Source organism: Homo sapiens, chromosome 19 (assembly GCF_000001405.40).
Source record: "Homo sapiens chromosome 19, GRCh38.p14 Primary Assembly".
Taxonomy (NCBI): Eukaryota; Metazoa; Chordata; class Mammalia; order Primates; family Hominidae; genus Homo; species Homo sapiens.
In genome coordinates, this window is record NC_000019.10 from 49,526,848 (window position 1) to 49,545,882 (window position 19,035).

The window sequence follows — 19,035 nt, forward strand, 5'->3', positions numbered from 1 at the left end:
AGTACAATTGCGTGATCTCAGCTCACTGCAACCTCCGCCTCCCAGGTTCAAGCAATTCTCCTGCCTCCCAAGTAGCTGGGATTACAGGCATGCACCACCACACCCGGCTAATTTTTTGTATTTAGTAGAGACGGGGTTTCACCATGTTGGTCAGGCTGGTCTGGAACTCCTGACCTCAGGTGATCCACCTGCCTCAGCTTCCCAAAGTTCTGGGATTACAGGCATTGAGCTACTGTGCTCAACCTGAGGTCATGTATTTTTAATTCATAACTTTTACAAATATTTACTGGATGACTGCCATGCCAGGCATTTTGAGGAATTCTTGGCTACTGTCTGACCACCTGAATCCTTGGAGCCGAAGAGGAGCGAGGAGCAGTGTTCACTCTTGGAGGAAATGGGATATTTCCTCCGGCCCCTTGATTCTGCTCTCCCTTTTCTTTTCTTTTCTTTTCTTTCTTTTTTTTTTTGAGACGGAGTTTCGCTCTTGTTGCCCAGGCTGGAATGCAATGGTGCGATCTCGGCTCACCACAACCTCCGCCTCCCAGGTTCAAGCAATTCTCCTGCCTCAGCCTCCCAAAGTAGCTGGGATTAAAGACATGCGCCACCACACCCGGCTAATTTTGTATGTTTAGTAGAGATGGGGTTTCTCCGTGTTGATCAGGCTGGTCTCGAACTCCCGACCTCAGGCGATCCGCCCGCCTCGGCCTCCCAAAGTTCTGGGATTACAGGCGTGAGCCACCGCGCCCGGCCTTTTTTCTTTTCTTTCGTTCTTTTTGTTTATTTTTGTTTTGTTTTGTTTTGTTTGGTATAGAAGTGTTGGAACGTACACCTCTTTCTTAAACCATCCTGACAAAGGGAAAGGGAAAAATACATTTCCCGTGAGGCGTTGTGACTAGAACAGCTGGAGGTGGACGGCAGAGTGCCGCGACGACTGCCAGGAGTTGTAGTTCTCCCCGGCCGCGTCACTGCGGTGTCGCCCACCCTTCTTCCCCGGGCAGGCCGCGGTTTCCTTTGTGGACGTGGCGAGGAGTGCCCGCGGCACCCCGTGCACTCATTGGCCCCGCCCCGTGAGACGCTCGTGCGAGCTCATTGGGCGGGGGGCGGGGCTCTGCGCTGCCAGAGGCGGGGCCTGACTGGAGAGCGGCCGAATTGGGCACATTTGCGGGAACGCAGAGCGGAGCGTGGAGAGCGGAGCGAAGCTGGATAACAGGGTAAAGGGAGTGGGTGGGGGGCCTCTGTCCAGGGAGGGCGGCTCGGGTCGAGGACCAGGGTCCGGACTGGGAGCAATGACGGGGAGCCTGCCTGACCTCTCGCTGGCCACAACTATGCCCTGCACCTTGCGTGGGATGTGCGCCACGTCTGTCTCTGTAATTCCCCCTGGCAGGTCTGGGACCCCCCTGAGACTCCGTCAGAAGATTCGGTCCTCCCCATAGGTGGCTTTACCTCTAAGCATCCCGCCCTCTTTTCCCCCATCGCCCGCCCTTTTTGAGCCCGAAAGCTTGCAGCCAACTTCCAACTCCCTGTCCTGTCCTAGGTAACCCCTCCACCCCGCCATTCTCCTATCCCGTGTCTGTCCCCATCCCTGTGACCCCTGACCCCTGGCCTTTGCCACTCCCCAGGGACCGATGATGTGGCGACCATCAGTTCTGCTGCTTCTGTTGCTACTGAGGCACGGGGCCCAGGGGAAGCCATCCCCAGACGCAGGCCCTCATGGCCAGGGGAGGGTGCACCAGGCGGCCCCCCTGAGCGACGCTCCCCATGATGACGCCCACGGGAACTTCCAGTACGACCATGAGGCTTTCCTGGGACGGGAAGTGGCCAAGGAATTCGACCAACTCACCCCAGAGGAAAGCCAGGCCCGTCTGGGGTAAGAGAGACATTCGGTTGGGGCGTGTCCAGAGGTGGGGCTTAGGAGAGAGACGCGGGGGTATCGACAGGGGTCAGAGAAATGGCGTGGACTGAACTTCATTTCTTTGTGAGAAATGAAATTCTACCTTCTATCCTTGGGAAAAAGAAATTAAGTTAAAATTGAGGCCTAAAGAGGACCTTTGAGACCGGGCGTGGTGGCTCATGCCTGTAATCCCAGCACTTTGGGAGGCCAAGGCAGGCCGATCACTTGAGGTCAGGAGTTCGAGAACAGCCTGGCCAACATGGTGAAATCCCGTCTCTACTAAAAATACAAAATTAGGCAGGCGTGGTGGTGGGCACCTGTAATCCCAGCTACTCGGGAGGCTGAGGCAGGAGAATCGCTTGAACCTGGGAGGTGGAGGTTGCAGTGAGCCAAAATTGCACCACTGCCCTCCAGTCAGGGCGACAAAGTGAGACTCCGTCTAAAAAACAACAACAACAATAAAAAAGAGGACCTTTGAGGGCAGCAAAATCTGGGTTAGATTCTGCCCCCTAAGCGCTCCTTATTCTTTTGTCCCAGACATCTCCCCTCCCCAAGCCTCAGTTTCCTGCTCTGTAAATGGCAGGGACTGGTGTGGAAAATGAGGTTTGGCCTTTAAGGAGCCCGGCCAGTGCAGGAGAGTGGCAGAGCCCTGAGTTTCAGGGTGAGCTGGGTGGAATGGAGCCCTGTCCACCCTCTCCGTCCAGGCCTGAGCGCAGGGGGGCGCGATGGGAGCAGCCGCCTTCTTCTGTGCATCCTCCTGACACTGATTGAGCCTGCAAAGGTTTATCGAGCACCTGCTATGTGCCAGGCACTGCTCTAGGTGCTGAAGTCACAACAGCTAACACATCTGTCCTCCTGAAGTTTACACTGTGGTGAGGGAAACAGCAAGAAGTCAATAAGTAGAAAGTGGATCAAATAGAGATAAATGCATCCAAGAAAGATAAAGCAAGAGAGTCAGAAAGTGTGGAGGGGAGAGGTTGTTGGTGGGGGGGAGTTGCAATTTTTATTTATTTATTTATTTATTTATTTACTTATTGAGATGGAGTCTCGCTCTGTCACCCAGGCTGGAGTGCAGTGGTGCGATCTCGGCTCACTGCAACCTCCACCTCCTGGGCTCAAGCAATTGTCCTGTCTCAGCCTCCCAAGTAGCTGGGATTACAGGCGCTAGCCACCACGCCCAGCTAATTTTGTATTTTTATTTTTTATTTTTATTTTTGTTGTTGTTGTTTTTGAGATGGAGTCTCGCTCTGTCACCCAGGCTGGAGTGCAGTGACGTGATCTCGGCTCAGTGGAACCTCCGCCTCCCGGGTTCAACCAGTTGTTCTGCCTCGTACTCCCTAGTAGCTAGAGTCCTAGCTACAAGTGAACGCTACAAGTCCTAGCTACAAGTGAACGCCTCCACATCCAGCAAAGTTTTTTTTCTTTCCTTTTTTTTTTTTGGAGACAGAGTGAGACTCTGTCTCCCGGGCTAGAGTGCAGTGGCGTGATCTCAGCTCATGCAACCTCTGCCTCCCAGGTTCAAGCAATTCTCCTGCCTCAGCCTTCCGAGTAGCTGGGACTATGGGTGCACGCCCACACGCCCAGCTAATTTTTTTTTTTTTTTTTGTATTTTAGTAGAGATGGGGTTTCACTGTGTTGCCCAGGCTGGTCTCGAGCTCCTGAGCTCAGGCAATCCGCCCGCCTTGGCCTCCCAAAGTGCTGGAATTAATGCGTGAGCCACAGCACCCAGCCCAGGCCCAGGTAATTTTTCTTTTTTTTCTTTTTTTTTTTTTTTTGAGACGGAGTTTTGCTCTTGTTGCCCAGGCTGGAGTGCAGTGGCGCAATCTCGGCTCACCACAACCTCCGCCTCCTGGGTTCAAGTGATTCTCCTGCCTCAGCCTTCCGAGTAGCTGGGATTACAGGCATGCACCACCATGCCCGGCTAATTTTGTATTTTTAGTAGAGATGGGGTTTCTCCATGTTGGTCAGGCTGGTATCGACCTCCTGACCTCAGGTGATCTGCCCACCTCGGCCTCCCGAAGTGCTGGGATTATAGGCATGAGCCACCGCACCCGGCTGGAGCTGCAATTTTAAACAGGGAACTTGGACAAGGCCTCCATGAGAAGGTGGTATGTGGTATTTGAGCCATGTGGGTATCGGAGTGAATAGCATTCCAGGCAGACAGAACAGTTAAGTGCAAAGGCCCTGAGGCAGGAGTGGGCTTGGAGTGTCAGAGCAACAGTTCTGAGGCCCGTGTGGCTGGAACTCAGTGAGAAAGGGGAGAGAGTGGGAGGTGAGGGCAGAGAAGGAGCAAAGGGGTTCAGCATGGTGGTTCATGTGTGTGATCCCAGCACTTTGGGAGGCCAAGGCTGGGGGATCACTTGAGCCCAGGAGTTCAAGACCAGCCTGGGCAACATAGTGATACCCCGCCTCTACAAAACAAATACAAAAATTAGCCCAGCATGGTGGCGTGCTCCTGTAGTCCCAGATACTAGGGAGGCTGAGGAGGGAGGATCACTTGGGCCTGGGAGGTCAAGGCTGCAGTGAGCCAAAATCATGCCGCTGCACTCCAGCCTAAGCAACAGAGCAAGACTTTGTCTCAAAAAGAGAGAGGGCCAGGTGCAGTGGCTCACGCCTGCAATCCCAGCACTTTGGGAGTCCAAAGCGGGCGGATTGCCTGAGACCATGCAAAGGGGGTCAGATCATGCAATGCAAAGCCTTTTAGGCCACGATGAAGATTTAGGCTTTTCTCCAATTGAGAGTAGAACTGAGGGAGGGCATGAGCTGACTTAGGTTTTGAGAGAATCCTGCTGGCTGCGAGGTGGGGAACAGACTGTAGGGAGCAAGAAGCAGGGAGCCCAGTGAGGAAGCGACTGCGATAGTCCAGGTGGAAGACAAGACAAGATGGTGGTCAGATCAGGGTGGAGACAGTGGCAGTGGTCCCCAGGACTGCTGGCTGGGAGATTGTGCTTGGATGGGCATGCATGAAGGAGAAATGGAGGAAGAAGGGCAGTGACAGGTTAGCACATTTAGCTTAGCACTAATGGCAATGCCAGGCATTGTCCTAAGTGCTTTATTATTGTTATTATTATTATTATTTTGAGACGCAGTCTCGCTCTGTCTCCCAGTCTGGAGTGCAGTGGCGTGATCTCGGCTCACTGCAAGCTCCACCTCCCGGGTTCATGCCATTCTCCTGCCTCAGCCTCCCGAGTAGCTGGGACTACAGGCGCCCACCACCACGCCCAGCTAATTTTTTTGTATTTTTAGTAGAGACGGGGTTTCGCCGTGTTAGCCAGGATGGTCTAGATCTGCTGACCTCGTGATCCACCCACCTCGGCCTCCCAAAGCACTGGGATTACAGGCGTGAGCCATGGCGCCTGGCCTTTTTTTTTTTTTTTTTTTTTTTGAGACAGAGTCTCACTCTGTCATCCAGGCTGGAGTGCAACGGCGCGATCTCGGCTCACTGCAAGCTGCGCCTCCCAGGTTCACGCCATTCTCCTGCCTCAGCCTCCCGAGTAGCTGGGACTACAGGCACCTGCCACCACGCCCGGCTAATTTTTTGTATTTTTAGTAGAGACGGGGTTTCACCATGTTAGCCAGGATGGTCTCGATCTCCTGACCTTGTGATCCGCCCTCCTCGGCCTCCAAAGTGTTTTTTGTTTGTTTGTTTGTTTTTGAGACAAGGTCTTACTCTGTTGCCCAGGCTGGAGTGCAGTGGCACGATCTCGGCTCACTGCAACCTACGCCTCCTGGGTTCAAGCAATTCTCCTGCCTCAGCCTCCCGAGTAGTGGATATTACAGGCATCCACCACTGTGCCCGGCTACTTTTTGTATTTTTAGTAGAGACGGTTTCACCATGTTGGCCAGGCTGGTCTGGAACTCCTCACCTCAGGTGATCTGCCCACTTCGGCCTCCCAAAGTGCTGGGATTACAGGCGTGAGCCACCGTGCCCGGCCTATTATTGTTATTATTATTTGAGACGGAGTCTCGCTCTGTTGCCCAGGCTGGAGTGCAGTGGTACTATCTCGGCTCACTGCAACCTCCACCTCCCAGATTCAACCAATTCTCCCGCGTCAGCCTCCAGAGTAGCTGGGATTTCAGGTGCGTGCCACCATGCCCTGCTAATTTTTGTATTTTTAGTAGAGACAAGGTTTCACCATGTGGACCAGGCTGGTCTGGAACGTCTGATCTCAAGTGATTCGCCTGTCTTGGCTTCCCAAAGTGCTGGGATTACAGGCGTGAGCCACCGCGCCTGTCCTGTCCTAAGTGCTTTACATGGCCTAACTCATTTATTCCCCACAACCGCCCTTTTGGGGTAGGTACCGTTTTTTCTTCCTCCGTTTTACAGAGGGGTAACTGAGACACAGAGAGGTTAAGTCACTTGCCCACAGTCACACAGCCAGTAAGAGGAAGTGGCTGGATTTGGACCTAAAATGTCTGGCTGTGGAGCCCAAGCGCTTAACAACACCAGGAACCTCAGAGAAGGGTGTGATTCCGGGGACAGAGTGGGGCCCTAGACAGACTGGAGCAGAGACCGCCTGGTGCGGGAGGTGGGGCGGTGACTCAGGCAGGCCTGGAGAGGGCTCTGCTGTCTCGGATTTTCGACTTTAGGGAGGGGGCCGCGGGGGCCTAGGGACGGTGACAGGGAGGAGGGCTCCAGGTAGTCTCTGTTAATTAGAGATTGGGAGAGGACCGGCCTGGCAAGGCGTCACCAAGGGAGAGGAGAGGGGCCCGAGAGCTGATAGGCGTGGCCCAAGAGAAGGGGAGAGATGGAACCTAAAGTGGCTTGACATGCGACAGGGAGGGGCACAGGAGCCCGGAGGAGCATGGGGAGGGGCAGAGGGAGACTGAGCCCCCGGGGTTGCGGGTGATGGTCCTCAGGCAGTGCCTGATTCAGCCGGGAGCAGGCAGGGGAAAGCCACGGGGCTCAGCACAGGGCAGGGCTGGAGGGAGAGGAGCCTGAAATTGACACGCGCAGCCTGGTAAGGGGGAGGGGCATGGGGCGGGTCGGGGCCTGAGACAGCGGGGGATCGGGGGTGTGGCCGTGGCTGTCTGGGTTCAGAGTCAATCTTGCAACAGGGCCCCCTTGGCAAGGGTCACAGTGCGACGCCGCGCTCCCCTTCACCACCCCAGCTCGGCCCAGCGAGAGGTGCAGCACGTGCAGGCCGAGGGCGGGGCCGGCGCGGAGAGGGTGGCCCTGCATCGTAGTAGGTCCCTCCCCCGCAGTGCTCCCAGCAGGCCCGCTCGTTCTGGAGAAGGGCGTGACTCGACCTGGGGGTGGACCCTAGGCTGAGGGGTAGGGTCCTCCGGTGGGCTTGGTCCCGAAATTGACCCGCGCCCCTCCCCAGTTAGCCCGCGGACCGTGGACTGTATTTTCAGCCCCGGATCCGAAGTGTCCCAGGGGGCGTGGCCCGTGCGAGGGGCGGGGCCTGGGGGCGGGACCAGAGCCTGACGTGTGCCCGCCCCGGCTTCTAGGCGGATCGTGGACCGCATGGACCGCGCGGGGGACGGCGACGGCTGGGTGTCGCTGGCCGAGCTTCGCGCGTGGATCGCGCACACGCAGCAGCGGCACATACGGGACTCGGTGAGCGCGGCCTGGGACACGTACGACACGGACCGCGACGGGCGTGTGGGTTGGGAGGAGCTGCGCAACGCCACCTATGGCCACTACGCGCCCGGTACGCGGCGAGCCCCCGACCCTGCTCCCCATACACCGTGACCCTGACCTTCTGGACCGCCTCATTCTGAGAACCCTGAACCCATTTACCCGGAGTCCCTGGCCCCTAACCAGGCTCTACCCACTTTTAGGAGCCCATAACTGTGAGATCTTCAGTTTCTCACCTCTGGCTTCTCTTTTTTGTTTTTCGTCTGCTTATTTTTCTGGTATTTAGCTGCATGCTAAAAACGATCTTTTTTTCAAACATGAAGTCACAATTAGGTGCTAAAAGCCACTGAACGCACCCAAACAGGGACTTGAAACCTGGGCCCTCAAATTAAAAGTCCAATGCTCTACCAACTAAGCTACCCAGGTTCCCTTCAGGGCTTTCATTCTGGGACTCACCACCTCTGTGACAATATGACTAGGGTACTTGAGATCCCTGGCCAAGGACACCTACTTTCCATGCCTTGTCATCCTGACCCCTAACTTCTGTGACCTCTCATCCTGAGAACCCCAAAGCCAGTTACTCAGCCCCTGACTCTCAGATCCCTCCTTTCTGTCCCAAGTCCCAGCCTCAGTGCCCCACACCCTGCCACACACACAGCCCTCATTCTCTCCCTCCTCTCCTCTCTGTCCCTGGCCCCAGCCTCCCCGTCCAGTCTGTCCTCCACAGGGCTCCGGGGGCGGGGTTCTTCATGCCCAGCACTGACTCTGCCCCTCCCTCCCCCTCCTGGGCCCCCAGGAGACGGTCCCACTCCCCAGCCGGGACGTTTCCTCCTGTGGCTTTGTTTTTCTGCATTTTCTGCACCAAATGGATTTTCTGTGGTTTTCCTGAACTCACCACACTCTTCAAACCTCTACCTTCTGCCCATATTGTTCCCTCCAGTTACAATGCCCGTCCCCTCCTCTCAGTCAAGCCATCTCAGTCCCTGTAAGCTACCCCATCACAGCCTTAGTCTGGGGCCAAAAGGCCCACTGTCAACTCATAGTGGGCCATTCCTGTCTCCACACGCTTGGATCAGTTATTTCTTCTCTCTGAGAATCAATTTTTGCATTCAGAAAGTAGAATACATGGAAAAACCCACTGTATGTGCTTTTTTGTGATGATTAAATGCAATATTGTGCATAAAGAGCTTAGCATATAATCTCTCACAAGTTAGCTAATTTATTGGGTGGATATAATATGTTACATAGCCTGGGTGCCATGGCTCACGCCTGTAATCCCAGCACTTTGGGAGGCCGAGGTGGGTGGATCACGTGAGATCAGAAGTTAGAGACCAGCCTGGCCAATGTGGCAAAACCCCGTCTTACCACAAAAAAATACTTAGCTGGGCGTGATGGTGTGCACCTGTGATCACAGCTACTCTGGAGGGTGAGGCAAGAGAATCACTTGAACCCAGGAGGCAGAAGTTGCAGTGAGCCGAGATCACATCACTGCACTCTGGCCTTGGCGACAGAGTGAGACTCTGTCTCAAAAAAAAAAAAATATATATATATATAGATAGATAGATAGATAGATAGATATAGATATACACACACATACTAATAATATGTTATATAACATATTATATACTTAAATATATATACAAATTATATATAAAGTATCAATATATGCTTTTTTTTTTTTGTGAGGGAGTTTTGCTCTTGTTGCCCAGGCTGGAGTGCAGTGGCGTGGTCTCGGCTCACTGCAACCTCCGCCTCCCGGGTTCAAGCGATTTTCCTGCCTCAGCCTCCCAAGTAGCTGGGATTACAGGCATGCGCCACCACGCCTGGCTAATTTTGTATTTTTAGTAGAGATGGGGTTTCTCCATGTTGGTCAGGCTGGTCTCGAACTCCCAACCTCAGGTGATCTGCCCACCTCGGCCTCCCAAAGTGCTGTGATTACAGGTTTGAGCCACCGCACCCGGCCTACTTTTTTTTTTTTTTTTTTTTTTTTGAGATGGAATGGAGTTTCACTCTTGTTGGCCAGGCTGCAGTGCAATGGCAAGGTCTCGGCTTACTACAACCTCATCCTCCTGGGTTCAAGCAATTCTCCTGCCTCAGCCTCACGAGTAGCTAGGACTACAGGCGCCCACCACCATGCCAGGCAAATTTTTGTATTTTTAGTAGAGAAGGAGTTTCACCATGTTGACCAGGCTGGTCTCGAACTCCTGACCTCAGGCGATCCACCCACCTCGGCCTCCCAAAGTGCTGGGATTACAGGTGTGAGCCACTGTGCCAGGCTTCTAAAATTTTTTTTTTTTTTTTTTTGAGACATAGCCTCCCTCTGTCGCCCAGGCTGGAAAGCAGTGGTGCAGTCTCAGCTCACGGCAACCTCCGCTTCCTGGGTTCAATCGACTCTTGTGCCTCAGACTCCCGAGTAGCTGGGATTACAGGCGTGCCCCACCATGCCCGGCTAAGTATTTTTTTGGTAGAGATGGGGTTTCGCCATGTTGGCCAGGCTGGTCTCAAACTCCTGACCTCAAGTGATCTGCCAGCTTCAGCCTCCCAAAGTGCTGCTATTACAGGCGTGAGCCACTGCATCCAGCCTACTGATATATACTTATTAACTCCACAGAAATCTTTGTACCCCAGTAGGATTTACTTTGTCTTTGTTTTAACCTGCTTGGCGTTTCCTCCATTAAAGCTCATCTCACTGAGACCTGTCCTTCCCCAGGTGAAGAATTTCATGACGTGGAGGATGCAGAGACCTACAAAAAGATGCTGGCTCGGGACGAGCGGCGTTTCCGGGTGGCCGACCAGGATGGGGACTCGATGGCCACTCGAGAGGAGCTGACAGCCTTCCTGCACCCCGAGGAGTTCCCTCACATGCGGGACATCGTGATTGCTGTGAGTGGCGGCTGGGGAACCCTGTCCCCCACACCCTTCCGGGGACCCAGGCTTCCGGTTCAGGTCCTGCTTCCCAGCACCGACCTGGGGGCAGGCAGTCACCTGGTTCTCCAGCATCTTGCCGGGGAAGCCAGGCCGCAAACACAGGTCAGAGGACGGTGACCTTTCCCACCTCCACTCTCAGTCCCCTGGGGTCTGATCTCTCCTCGTCTGGCCTTCCCCTCCCTGTGCTCGCATTTGGGGTCCAGGCCCCCAGCCTTCCCTCAGACAGCCACTGTGCCCCACCTTATACAATTTCTTTTCTTTCTTTTTTTTTTTTGAGACATAGTCTCCCTCGGTTGCCCAGGCTGGAAAGCAGTGGTGCGATCTCAGCTCACTGCAACCTCCGCCTCCCGGGTTCAAGCAATTCTCCTGCCTCAGCGTCCCGAGTAGCTGGGATTACAGGGGCGCACCACCACACCTGGCTAATTTTTAGTAGAGACAGGGTTTCTTCATGTTGGTTAGGCTGGTCTCAAACTTTTGACCTCAGGTGATCCGCCCGCCTCAGCCTCCCAAAGTGCTAGGATTATAGGCATGAGCCACCGTGCCCGGCCAATTTTTAATTTTTTTTTCTAGTAGAGATGGGATTTCACCATGTTGGCCAGGCTGGTCTTGAACTCCGGACCTCAGGTGATCTGCCCACCTTGGCCTCCCAAAGTGCTGGGATTACAGGCATGAGCCACCGTGCCTGGCCCCAAAATGTGCTTTGTTCTATAGAAGAAGGCTTTTTTTTTCTTTCCTTCCTCTTTTTTTTTTTTAGTTTTTGAGACAGGGCCTAACTCTGTTACCCAGACCGGAGGGCAGTGGCTCAATCTCAGCTCACTGCAACCTCAAACTCTTGGGCTCAAGTAATCCTCCCACCTCCGCCTTCTGAGAAGCTGAGGCCACCAGGCACAAGCCACCATGTCTGGCTAATGTTTTTTTTTTTTTTTTTTTCAGACGGAGTCTCGCTCTGTCGCCCATGCTGGAGTGCAGTGATGCGATCTCGGCTCACTGCAAGCTCTGCCTCCCGGGTTCACTCCATTCTTCTGCCTCAGCCTCCCGAGTGGCTGGGACTACAGGCGCATGCCGCCATGCCCGGCTAATTTTTTTTTTTTTTTTTTTAGTAGAGACGGGGTTTCACTGTGTTAGCCAGGATGGTCTCGATCTCCTGACCTCGTGATCCACCCACCTCGGCCTTCCAAAGTGCTGGGATTACAGTTGTGAGCCACCACGCCCGGCCATGCCTGGCTAATTTTTAAATTTTGTGTAGAGACAGGGTCTCGCCATGTTGCCCAGGCTAGTCTCAAAATCCTGGGCTCAATCGATCCTCCCGCCTCGGCCTCCCAAAGTGCTGGGATTACAGGTGTGAGCCACCGTGCCCAGCCCACAGTCTTATAGTGAATGAGTTTGGATATAAATTGGGGAACAAAAGTCGTTTTGCTCCAGAAGGGCACAAAAACAAGGAGCGGAGGTGTCCAGTGTGTCAGAAGAAGCCCCAAAGTGCACCATGTTCACACATAAAGCAGAGGTAGGTTCTAGGCTCTGCTAAACATAAAGGAGCTTCTCCCCTTGGAGGGTGTTTGCTGGGGCTTGAGCAAGTTATTAGGGACCCAGGACAGCTCCCCTTGTGAGCAACAAACCTGTGCACTGCTGGACATTAGGGCCTCTGGGCTCTGGCCCCGTAAATGCAGGTGGTGCCTGTTTGATGATAACATCCCAGAAAGCCCGCAAATTTCCCACATGCCACCTGTTGAGACTGCTCTACTGCCTGCCTCCCACAGCTGCCCGGAGCTAAATTTCCAAGAGAACCTCTCACTCTTACCCCAGGGGTCCAGCCTCCCCCAGGAGCCAGGGTCATCGGCCCCCAGCCTCAATGCCCCTTTCTCCTCCAGGAAACCCTGGAGGACCTGGACAGAAACAAAGATGGCTATGTCCAGGTGGAGGAGTACATCGGTGAGTGGGCCCCAATTTCTTCTTGGGATGCCTGTCCTCTCTCAGGCATGGGCAGGGTTGGTGGGGGTAGCCGGAGGTACATCACCCATCATCAGAGAACAGTGGCCCTCAGACATGGGGGCAGGGGCACTCACTGCTTGAGTTCATTTAGCCACCCAACATTTATTGAGCACCTACTCTATACCAGACACAAAAAGCATCTATTGAGCACCTGCTGTGTGTCACGCCCAGGATACACTTACTGAGCACCTACTGCATATGGGTGGTTGCGCCTACAGCAGACAATAACACAGACAAATCCCTTCTTGGGGGTCTGGAGTTTCTACAAAATCAAGGCTCAGGGGCTATGTTTAGTTGAGAATGGGGGTCAGGAAGCTGGTCTTGAACCTGCGCCTGCACAGCAAACACTGTTTCCTGTTACATGGGATGTTGGGGGATCCTCACAATACCCCCTGAGTTCTGAGTTCTCCCTGGGCCCCTGCCACTGTCCCTGCCCCTAGCGGGCAAAAAATTTAGTCAAGGAGAACGCTAACAAGGAATTTTTTTTTTTTTTTTTTTTTTTTGAGACAGTTTTTTTCTGTTGCTCAGGCTGGAGCGCGGTGGCGTGGTATCGGCTCTCTGCAACCTCCGCCTCCCGGGCTCAAGAGATTCTTCTGCCTCAGCCTCCTGAGTAGCTGGGATTACTGGTGCCTGCCACCACGCCTGGCTAATTTTTGTATTTTTAGTGGAGATGGGATTTCACCATGTTGGCCAGGCTGGTCTAGAACTCCCAACCTCAGGTGATCTGCTCATCTTGGCCTCCCAAAGTGGTGGGATTACAGGCGTGAGCAACCACGCCCGGCCAGGAATTTTTTTTTAAGTTTGAAAACATTGTTTATTCTTTTATTTTTTTCTGACCACATCCTACATGAGAAAACATTTTTCTTTCTTTCCTTCTCTCACTTTCTTTCTTTCTGTCACTCTTTCTTTCTATCTGTCTGTCTGTGTGTGTGTGTGTCTCTCTCTTTATTAAATAGAGATGGGTTCTCACTATATTGTCCAGGCTGGTCTAGAACTCCTGGGCTCAAGCAATCTTCCCACCTTGGCCTCCCAAAGAGCTGAGATTACAGGCATGAATCACCACACCTGGCTGAGAGAACATTTTTATATTTTTTTCTTAAGAGATGGGGTTGGGCCAGGCGCAGTGGCTCATACCTGTAATCCCAGCACTTTGGGAGGCTGAGATGGATGGATCATGAAGTCAGGAGTTCGAGACCAGCCTGGCCAAGATGGTGTACTAAAAATACAAAAATTAGCCGGGCCTGTTGGCAGGAGCCTGTAATCCCAGTTACTCTGGGGACTGAGGCAAGAGAATCTCTGGAACCCGGGAGGCAAAGGTTGCAGTGAGCTGTAATCGCGCCATTGCACTTCAGTCTGGGCAACAAGAGCGAAACTCCATCTTAAAAAAAAAAAAAAAAGATGGGGTCTTGCCCTGTCGCCCAGGCTGGAGTGCAGTGGGGTGATCTTGGCTCACTGCAGCCTTGACCTCCTGGGCTCAAGGGATCCTCCCACCTCAGCCTCCCAAGTAGCTGAGACTCCAGGCACAGTGCGGCCTCTGGAGATACTTCTGGTTGTCACTTCTAGAGGGGTGAGGATGCTACTGACGTCTCCTGGATAGAGCCCAGAGATGCTCCTTAGCATTCTCCGGTGCACAGGACAGGCCCTGACAACAAGGAGGTCACAGGCCCCAGATGCCAGCAGCTGTCCCCATCTCTTTTTTTTTTTTTTTGAGACAGAGTCTCGCTATTGTCGCCCAGGCTGGAGTGCAGTGGCATGATCTCGGCTCACTGCAACCTCCGCCTCCCAGGTTCAAGCAATTCTCTTGTTTCAGCCTCCTGAGTAGGTGGGATTATGGGCGTGCACTACCACGCCTGGCTAATTTTGTATTTTTAGTAGAGACGGGGTTTCACCATTTTGGTCAGGCTGGTCTTGAACTCTTGACCTCAGGTTATCCACCTGCCTCGGCCTCCCAAAGTGCTGGGATTACAGGCGCGAACCACCGCACCCAGCCTATCTTCTCAATTACTTCATCCCATTAAGACTTCATCTTCCATTCCTCAGCTCTACCAGGCAGACACTGTCACTATCCTCCATTATATAGATGACACCTGAGGCCCAGGGGGGTTGAAGGGATCTGCTGAAGACAATGGGAAGAGGCAGGGCTAGGATTTGAACCTTGGTGTTTGGGCTCTGGCACCTATTTCTTAACTCCTCCCCAACCAGTAACATATCAAAATGTATAAAATTGGGGTGGGTGCCATGGCTCACGCCTGTATTCCCAGCACTTTAGGAGGCCAAGGTGGGTGGATCACTTGAGGTCAAGAGTTCAAGACCAGCCTGGCCAACATGATGAAACCCTGTCTCTACTAAAACTAGAAAAATTAGCTGGGCGTGGTGGCGGGTACCTGTAATCCCAGCTACTTGGGAGGCTGAGGCAGGAGAATCACTTGAACCCAGAAGGTGCAGGTTGCAGTGAGCTGAGATTGTGTCACTGCACTCCAGCCTGTAATCCCAGCACTTTGGGAGACTGAGGCAGGTGGATCATGGGGTCAGGAGTTTGAGAGCAGCCTGGCCAAGATGGTGAAACCCCGCCTCTACTAAAAATATAAAAATTAGCTGGGTGTGGTGGCACGCACCTGTAATCCCAGCTACTTGGGAGGCTGAGGCAGGAGAATCGCTTGAACCTGGGAGGCAGAGGTTGCAGTGAGCTGAGATTGCGCCATTGCACTACAGCCTGGGCAACAAGAGCGAAACTCCATCTTAAAAAAAAAAAGGGGGTGGGGTCTTGCCCTGTTGCCCAGGCTGGAGTGCAGTGGGGTAATCACAGCGAGACTCCATCTCAAAAAAAAAAAAAAAAATTTGTAGAAACAGGGTCTTGCTATGTTGCCCAGGTTGGTCTTGAATCTTGGCCTCAAATGACCCTCCTGCCTGGGTCTCCCAAAGTGTTGGATTACAGTCATCACTGCACCTGGCATCTCTGTCACCTGCTAACTGGCCAGAAACATCCTCGCACGTTCCTCCTGCATAGACATTGCTTACTATGTGCCAGGCACTGCCTTGCCCATTGCACACACTACTTCACGTGTGTGTCAATGAAATCAATCAATCATGCAATCAACCAATCAAATGAATTTCACCTGTAACACAAATGATTGCTTATAAGTCAGGTTTTGTTACTAATTCCATCGAAACAGAAGAGGACGCTGAGGCGAGAGAGAGGGTAGTGAGTTGCTCAAGGGCCTGGTTCAGGAAGTATCAGAGCCAGGATCAGCCCCCAGCTCCACTAGACCCCCAGAGCTGCCCCTGACCTTGTCCCCTCTGTCCCGGCCCCCAGCGGATCTGTACTCAGCCGAGCCTGGGGAGGAGGAGCCGGCGTGGGTGCAGACGGAGAGGCAGCAGTTCCGGGACTTCCGGGATCTGAACAAGGATGGGCACCTGGATGGGAGTGAGGTGGGCCACTGGGTGCTGCCCCCTGCCCAGGACCAGCCCCTGGTGGAAGCCAACCACCTGCTGCACGAGAGCGACACGGACAAGGTGCAGTGACGGGGCCTCGGCAGGAGCGAGGAGCGGGTGGGCATTGCGGGCCAGACTCCAGAAAGGAGCAAGACCTGGGCCTGGAGCTCAGGGTCCCTTTTAGGTGGGATAAAAAAAGAGGGACAGAGAGAGGGAGGAAAAGAGAGGGCACGGAGCCCCAGAAAGAGAGGGGGACAGAGACCCAGAGACCCAAAGAGAGAAGGACAGGGACCAAGACGGGGACAGATTCAGAGAGAAAGGGACAGAGGCCCAGAGAACAAGGGTCCCAGAGACTTCGGGACACGCTTGGATGCAGGGAGGGCTTTTGAAAGCAGGGCCGTGTTGTCCCCTCTGAACCCTGACCCTCCCTCCAGGATGGGCGGCTGAGCAAAGCGGAAATCCTGGGTAATTGGAACATGTTTGTGGGCAGTCAGGCCACCAACTATGGCGAGGACCTGACCCGGCACCACGATGAGCTGTGAGCACCGCGCACCTGCCACAGCCTCAGAGGCCCGCACAATGACCGGAGGAGGGGCCGCTGTGGTCTGGCCCCCTCCCTGTCCAGGCCCCGCAGGAGGCAGATGCAGTCCCAGGCATCCTCCTGCCCCTGGGCTCTCAGGGACCCCCTGGGTCGGCTTCTGTCCCTGTCACACCCCCAACCCCAGGGAGGGGCTGTCATAGTCCCAGAGGATAAGCAATACCTATTTCTGACTGAGTCTCCCAGCCCAGACCCAGGGACCCTTGGCCCCAAGCTCAGCTCTAAGAACCGCCCCAACCCCTCCAGCTCCAAATCTGAGCCTCCACCACATAGACTGAAACTCCCCTGGCCCCAGCCCTCTCCTGCCTGGCCTGGCCTGGGACACCTCCTCTCTGCCAGGAGGCAATAAAAGCCAGCGCCGGGACCTTGTGTGTCTGTCTGTTGTCTGCCTGTCTCTATGAAGGGTAAGGGGGCCCTGGAGATGGTTTGGGGGCTGTGACTGGGAGTTGGGGGCTGAGACATGCAATAGGGGACCAGGCATTTGAAGGAGGGGTGCTGGGTGTTGGAGGGATTGGAGGGCGTTCCTCAGTATAAAACAAACAAACAAAAAAAATTGGGCCAGGCCCGGTGGCTCACGCCTGTAAGCCCAGCAATTTGGGAGGCTGAGGCGGGTAGATCACGAGGTCGGGGGTCCTAGACCAGCCTGGCCAACATGGTGAAACCCCGTCTCTACTAGAAATACAAAAATTAACCAGGCCTGGTGATGGGCACCTATAATCCCAGCTACTCTGGAGGCTGAAGCAGAATCGCTTGAACCCGGGAGGTGGAGGTTGTCGTGAGCCGAAATGGCGCCACTGCACTCCAGCCTGGGTGACAGAGGGAGACTCTGTCTCAAAAAAAAAAGGGAAAAAAAGCCTGGACTCTGCAGCGCACAAACCAGACAGGAAGCCCTGCCCTCTCAGAGCTCCAGTTCTGTAAGGAAGAGACACAGCGACCTAAAATATGGCACGGCGCAACAGATGCTGTGAAGCAGGGGAAGCGTGTAGCAGTGTGGCAATGTTCTGATGACTGAGAGGCTGGGAAAGGTCTCAATGGTAAATGGAGTGAAGGAGGGAGCCACGGAGAGATCTGGAGGGAGAGCATTCCAGGGAGAGAGAAGAGCAAGTAAAATGGCCCTGAGGCAGGAGTGGGCCTGGTGTGGCAGCATCAGCAAGGAGGCTAGAGTGGCTGGAAGGGAATGAGCCAGTGGAAGAGGGTCAGAGCTGAGAGCAGATGGGGCAAGTGGCCAGACTGTGCAGGCCCCTGCAGGCAGGTCATGGTGGTCCCTGTTTGGTGGCACAAGACAGGGATGGACAGAGACCCAGAGAGAAGGGGTGGGGAGTCAGAGAGAGAGGGACAGAGACCCAGAGAGAGAGGGGAACAGAGACCCAGAGAGAGAGGGACAGAGACCCAGAGAGAGAGGGGAACAGAGACCCAGAGAGAGAGGGGAACAGAGACCCAGAGAGAGAGAGGGGAACAGAGACCCAGAGAGAGGGAGACAGAAACTCAGAGAGAGGGAAACAGAGACCCAGAGAGTGGGGGACAGAGATCCAAAGAGAATGGGGATAGAGACCCAGAGAGACACAGAATTTATTCTGAGTGACATGAGAGTCGCTGGAGTGTCATGAGCAGAGGAGGGATTATAAACTGCTTTGAGTTATTTAAGAGTCGGGTTGGGCGCAGTGGTTCACGCCTGTAATCCCAAGGATTAATCAAGGATTGCTTGAGGCCAGGAGTTCAAGACCAGTCTGGGATGATCTTTTATAAAGATGGCATCTCTTTTTTTTTTTCTTTCTTTTTTTTTGAGACGGAGTCTCGCTCTGTCGCCCAGGCTGGAGTGCAGTGGCGCACTCTCACCTCACTGCAAGCTCCACCTCCCGGGCTCACGCCATTTATAGAGACCATATCTCTATTTAAAAATTAGTTTATGGCCGGGCACGGTGGTTCACGCCTGTAATCCCAGCTCTTTCAGAGGCCGAGGCAGGCAGATCACGAGGTCAGTAGATCGAGACCATCCTGGCTAACACGGTGAAACCCCGCCTCTACTAAAAAATACAAAAAATTAGCCAGGCATGGTGGCGGGCGCCTGTAGTCCCAGCTACTCGGGAGGCTGAGGCAGGAGAATGGCCTGAACCCGGGAGGCGGAGCTTGTAGTGAGCCGAGATCGCGCCACTGCACTCCAGCCTGGGAGACAGAGCGAGACTCTGTCTCAAAAAAAAAAATTAACTTACTAAAAAAATTAATTTACTAATTAATTTTTAAAAAGGAAATTCAAGAACAGGCAAAACTAATCTGGGGGTTAGAACTCAGGATGTTGTTCACCCTTGCGGGGGAGGGACCAGAATGGACCTCATGGGCTTCTTATCGGGAGAGGGAGGCTGGAAAATAGCCTATTCTTGATCTAGGTACTGCTTCCCAGGGGTGGTCAGATTATGAAAATTCATTCAGTTCTCCACATGTGATGTATGCCCTTTTATGCATGATAGAATTCAATTCAAAATTTACTTTTTTTTTTTTTTTTTTTTTGAGACAGAGTTTTGCTCTTGTTGCCCAGGCTGGAGTGCAATGGCACAATCTCGGCTCACTGCAACCTCCACCTCCCAGGTTCAAGCGATTCTCCTGCCTCAGCCTCCT

At 53.7% G+C, this 19,035-nt stretch overlaps 1 protein-coding gene across 6 annotated transcripts, besides 3 other annotated features; it reads left to right on the top strand.

Annotated features, from left to right (window-relative positions):
- Positions 1,072-1,650: an enhancer, noted in NCBI's record as "H3K4me1 hESC enhancer chr19:50031176-50031754 (GRCh37/hg19 assembly coordinates)". NCBI's record gives its function as "activates a minimal SCP1, AML or CMV promoter by ChIP-STARR-seq in primed H9 embryonic stem cells {active_cell/tissue: H9 hESC(primed)}" and the evidence as "EXISTENCE:reporter gene assay evidence [ECO:0000049][PMID:30033119]".
- Positions 1,114-1,233: a silencer, noted in NCBI's record as "silent region_10919". NCBI's record gives its function as "represses an Ori minimal core promoter by ATAC-STARR-seq in GM12878 lymphoblastoid cells {active_cell/tissue: GM12878}" and the evidence as "EXISTENCE:reporter gene assay evidence [ECO:0000049][PMID:35858748]".
- On the top strand, positions 1,156-16,786 carry RCN3 (reticulocalbin 3). 6 transcript variants are annotated; one of them, XM_047439115.1, is made up of 8 exons: positions 1,156-1,211; positions 1,385-1,534; positions 1,620-1,867; positions 7,346-7,548; positions 10,186-10,358; positions 12,161-12,332; positions 15,706-15,905; positions 16,259-16,786. In XM_047439115.1, the coding sequence occupies exons 3-8, from the start codon at positions 1,626-1,628 to the stop codon at positions 16,364-16,366; spliced, it is 1,098 nt and encodes a 365-aa protein (XP_047295071.1). In that variant the 5' UTR covers positions 1,156-1,211; positions 1,385-1,534; positions 1,620-1,625; the 3' UTR covers positions 16,367-16,786. The 6 variants fall into 6 exon arrangements, with proteins under 6 accessions (XP_047295071.1, XP_047295073.1, XP_047295072.1 ...); XM_047439117.1 differs by having other exon boundaries at positions 12,272-12,332; XM_047439116.1 differs by having other exon boundaries at positions 1,156-1,534.
- Positions 7,093-7,382: a silencer, noted in NCBI's record as "silent region_10920". NCBI's record gives its function as "represses an Ori minimal core promoter by ATAC-STARR-seq in GM12878 lymphoblastoid cells {active_cell/tissue: GM12878}" and the evidence as "EXISTENCE:reporter gene assay evidence [ECO:0000049][PMID:35858748]".
- Positions 16,787-19,035: the final 2,249 nt, after the last annotated feature.

Bases quoted from the DNA above. Each gene is read 5' to 3' on its own strand.
- RCN3 (XM_047439116.1), top strand. From the start codon at position 1,626: ATGATGTGGCGACCATCAGTTCTGCTGCTTCTGTTGCTACTGAGGCAC. The intron at 1,868-7,345 runs GTAAGAGAGACA...CCCGGCTTCTAG, and splicing joins GAAAGCCAGGCCCGTCTGGG to GCGGATCGTGGACCGCATGG. The intron at 10,359-12,160 runs GTGAGTGGCGGC...TGCCTCCCACAG, and splicing joins TGCGGGACATCGTGATTGCT to CTGCCCGGAGCTAAATTTCC.